The following is a 5,198-nucleotide window of genomic DNA, read 5'->3' on the forward strand; positions in this document are numbered from 1 at the left end:
GGTTGGATCATTGATTGTGCCAGATCCATTTACGGGCCAAAAAGCAGTAACAGCAGTTCAGTGCTGACTGGACTCACTGGGGTAACATCAAGGATGTACTACTAAGGAGTAAATTGTAACTGTTCTACTTAATGTTGATAGGTTAGCCTCTATGAATTCCATTATCATTTACCACATCTGGATGAATATACCCAGGGTAGTTCTTTGAAAAGAGCACCTAGAGTTGAGATATTAACAGATTCCCTGAAACACAAAATTTGCTAGACAGGAAGCATCTTCGTCTGTTTTGTGTTGCTATAAAAGAATACCTCAGACTGCGTAATATACAAAGAGGAAAAGTTTATGTGGCTTATGGCTGCACAAGGAGCATGGTGCCAGTATCTGCTTCTGGTGAGGGCCTCAAGCTACTTCCACTCAAGGAAGAAGGTGAGGAGGAGCCAGCAGTGCAGAGATACATGGCAAGAGAGGGAGCAAGACAGAGCAAGAAAGAGGGAGCAAGACACAGCAAGAAAGGAGATGCCAGGCTCTTTTTAACAACTAGCTCTTTTGGGAACTACTAGAGAGAGAGAGCTTACTCACTCCTAAGGTGGCCATTAATCTAATTAATATATTCATGAGATCCACTCCCATAACCTAAACACCTTCCACTAGGCCCCACCTCCAACAATGGGGATCAAATTTCAACATGAGATTTGAAAGGGACAAACATCCAAACGATAGCAGGAGGGAAGGTGTGATTGGAAGGTTTTAGAACTGTATTAAATATAAAAAACACTCCACCCTAAAGCTAATTTTACCAGAGTCTCTAAATAGTCAGAAAAGGGAGAAGCTAACACGTGGGTTAGCTCATCCCTAATCCACCAAAAGCATATTATCAGATTCCCCCAAGGGAGAATTAAGGAGAAAAGTCATAAGGAACAAAAAAGAGAAGTTACCTACAGATAAAAGTGACATTTCATAAAAAGAAAAATTGATCATAGACACTTGTGCCAGAACAATATAGTCTTATAAAATGCAACACCTGACAGAATTCCGTAAGGAAATAAATAAATCAAAATACATTTGGAGATTTTAACTTACAGTTTTCAGAAATTGTTGGATCACATAGGAAGAAAAAGTAAAGTTATAGAATATTTGAAAAAGTTGATTAGTAGCCTCAAAAAGATATACACATATAGACTTTTGTACGGAAAATGGATTAGACATAATTTTCAAACCACGTAAAACATAAGTAAAAATTGGCCATACTTTGGTCCACAAAGTCACCCTCAATAAATGTCAAAGAATCAATACAAACAAGACATCCAAAAGGCCCTGATGACTCAAAATCCAGAAACCATAAAAGAAAATATTTGCTAAATTTTAGAAATCTCTGCACAGCAGAAACACAAACATACGCAAAGTCAAAAGAGAAACAGCAAAGTGTGAAAATATTCACACTTCCGAAGTACAAAATGAAACACATTCTATGAGTGAAGATTAGTAATGGCTATAAACTAGAAACCTGACAGATGCATTAATGCTTTGACAAGGCAATTCCACCTTCCTATGACCACATGTATGCAAACAGCATGTCCAGGTTAATTTTTGTAGCACTGTTTGTAATAGAAGACTGGAAGCAGCCGAGACTCCACTCCTAGGAGACTGGTAGAAAAATGATAGTACATATCTCACCATGGAATATTATGCAGTTGAAAAACGTTTTGGAGACTGTCTATATACTTATATATATATGTGTTGTTGAGTGAAGATTTATAGGGAAGAAAAGTTTACAATATAAGTTTTCATGGAAGAATGTGGGGGAAATAAGAATATGTGTATGTATATTTTTATTGGCTTGTATTTGAATAGACATTGGAAGAGTAAACAAACAAAAATAATTATCTATGAAGGAACAGAGGAAGACAATGTAAGTTACAGAAATCAGATTTTTTATGCATAATTTAAAACACATTTTGTACTTTGTAGATGCTGATAATTATTATTATTATTATTATTATTATTGTTTTTTTTTTTTTTAAATAGAATCTCGCTCTGTCACCCAGGCTGGAGTGCAGTCACAGGATCTCCGCTCACTGCAAGCTACGCCTCCCGGGTTCACGCCATTCTCCTGCCTCAGCCTCCAGAACACCTGGGACTACAGGAGCCCGCCGCCACGCCCGGCCAATTGTTTTGTATTTTTAGTAGAGACAGGGTTTCACCGTGTTAGCCAGGATGGTCTCGATTTCCTGACCTCGTGATCTGCCCGCCTCGGCCTCCCAAAGTGCTGGGATTACAGGGGTGAGCCACCACGCCCGACCGCTAATAAATATTTGTTAAAAAGAAAAGAATGTCCAGGGGGTTCCAAGAGAGCCACCTGGGATCCAGTGTGAATGGATTCTGTGATGCACTGCTCTCCACAGCAGTGGGATTAGCATATGAAGGCTCTGAGTCCCAGTGTCTGGAATGGCTCTTTTTAAGCATCAATGTGGCCATCCTGATATTGTAGGTATAAAAAGATGCTGAGACTTGAATTAGGGTTGAGGACAAAGATAGAGGGAAGACGTACAGAGCTAGATCAGCTCCAGGGCAGGGCCAACAGCTACTTACTGAGACACTGACAAGGGTTTGGAGCCTATTTAATGTTGTGTGTTCAAAGATTAGAGGGGAGAGAAATAAGACATTTGTATCAGAATTCTGAGAAATTGAATAGAAATTGTGTCAGGCAATTTCTAACAGACCTATGTGCAAATTAGGAGCAGGTGAGAAAGTACCAAAGCCACCTTTGCCAGCGCATTAATATGGTTTCATTGAGGACTAAGCCAATCCAGCCTGGCTAGCTGGTTTCCTTAAGTTAAGCAGTACCATGAAGAGAAGAGCCTATATGTAAATCATGCCAGCAGGTCCTGCGGGAAAGGGTACATACATCGTTTTCATCCTAATATGGTGTATTAGTCGAACTTTCATTGCTATAAAGGAATACCTGAAACTGGGTAATTGATGAAGAAAGAGATTTATCTGGCTTACAGTTCTATAGAGTGTATGAGAAGCATAGGGCTGGCATCTGCTTCTGGTAAGGGCCCCAGGAAAATTTACTCATGGCTGACGCTGAAGGGGAAGCAGGTATATCACAAAGCACGAGAGGGAGCAAGAGAGCAATACCGTGCTCTTTATTAATTTATTTTTGAGATGGGGTTTTCCTCTGTCACCCAAGCTGGAGTACAGTGGCATAATCATAGCCCACTGCAGCCTCAAACCTCTGGGCTCAAGTGGTGCTCCTGCCTCAGCCTCCACACTATAAGCATGTGTACCACCTTGCCAGCTAATGCTTTCATGCTTATTTTATTTTACTTTATTTTTTAGAGGTGGGATCTCGTTATGTTGCCAAGGCTGGTAACATTCCTGGGCTCAAGAGATCCTCCTACCTCACCTTCCCAAAGTGCTGGGAATTCTGTTCTCCATGCCTTATCAAACCATATGATATGGGTAGGTTTTCAAGTGCTTTCACATCCATTATCTCATGTGAAGCTCAGACTAACCCCGTTAAATAGCCGGAACTCTTATTTCTGTTACAATTTCTTGGATGAGAAAACTGATATTTAAGTAGGTAAAATGGCATGTGCATGTTCGCTTAACTAGAAGTAGGTTGTGCAAGGATCAAATAGAATTCTCATTCCTGCTCAATGACTGGGTCATGAATTTATTCATTTATCACTCATTATTGAGTGCCTAATAAGTCAGGAACTAGGCATCCAAGTATTATAAGAAGCAATTTCTCCCATGGAACAGCTCACCATACCATGAAGGCCTCTTTCTGCTACTGCTGTATCCAAAAGGAATTCTCTTCTCCATGCCTTCTGCTATGCCACTGGCAAGAAGAAACATGCAATAAAGGTATGAAATTCATCTCCAAGGGTTTTCAAGAACTCCACGGGAGGTCAGAAAGCCTATTTATTAAGGCTCTAATTATCTAGTTTTATGGTTTGACAGGATTCCCCGCCCACAACACTGATGCATTCCTTAGGATACTAGGACCACATCAAAGAGAGACTAGGGAAATTTTAAAAGGTGGAATTCAAATGCATCAATTTTGTATTCATTTTATTATTTTTATAGATTCGGGGGGTACAAGTGCAGTTTTGCTACATGGATATATTACATGGTGGCGAAGTCTAGGTTTTTAGTGAACCCATTACTCGAACAGTGAACACCATGTCACTAGCCTTTGAATGAGAATGATGAGGAGGCAGTTGGGAAACTCACAAAGTAAGGTACTTGGATTATTCCAAAATATAAATTATTCGTCCTACGCCCTACCCCCACTGCACCATGGATAGGAAAACTAAAGCTTTCTCACAGGCATACTGCAGTTTGCCTTGTTATCTTCTATATTTTTTCTTTTATGTTAAAAACTATTAAAGGCCTTCCCAAATATATTGAATTATTTTCACTTTAAGAATCATTATTTCCTTGCTTGTTTGCTTGCTTTGCTTTAAGTTGATGTGGGCAGTGAAGAGTACAGACAAAGGAGAGATCCTGCAAATGATAGAGGTGAAGCCAATTTGAGGACTGAGGTCTACTGACATATTTTTGCTTTAAAAATGAGGGAAAAATAAAACAAAGAAAATGTAATCAAGATTAAATGAGCAGGCCGGGCACGGTGGCTCATGCTTGTAATCCCAGCACTTTGGGAAGCCGAGGCGGGCGGATCACGAGGTCAGGAGATCGAGACCAGGGTGAAACCCCATCTCTACTAAAAATATAAAAAAATTAGCCAGGCGCGGTGGTGGGTGCCTGTAGTCGCAGCTACTTGGGAGGCTGAGGCAGGAGAATGGCGTGAACCCGGGAGGTGGAGCTTGCAGTGAGCTGAGATCGTGTCACTGCACTCCAGCCTGGGCGACAGAGCAAGACTCCGTCTCAAAAAAAAAAAAAAAAAAAAAAACAAAACCAAAAAACCAAAAAAACAAAAAACAAGATGAAATGAGCAGATTTTTTAAACCATAAATGAAGGAAGGAATCAAACAAAAACGATTTCAAGTACACACTGTTCATAACTGGCTTCCAATGGAACAGTGTAAGTTCATTATAGGCCGTAACTTTTATAATGAATTTGTCACTAAAATAATTAATTCCCAGGGAGACCTACTTGGGGTGGAGCAAGTTTGTGGAATAGTATGTTTTTCTAGACCTGTTTGGGAATATCTGTCACAACGAATAGA

Source organism: Homo sapiens, chromosome 8 (genome assembly GCF_000001405.40).
Source record: "Homo sapiens chromosome 8, GRCh38.p14 Primary Assembly".
In the NCBI taxonomy this organism is placed as follows: domain Eukaryota; kingdom Metazoa; phylum Chordata; class Mammalia; order Primates; family Hominidae; genus Homo; species Homo sapiens.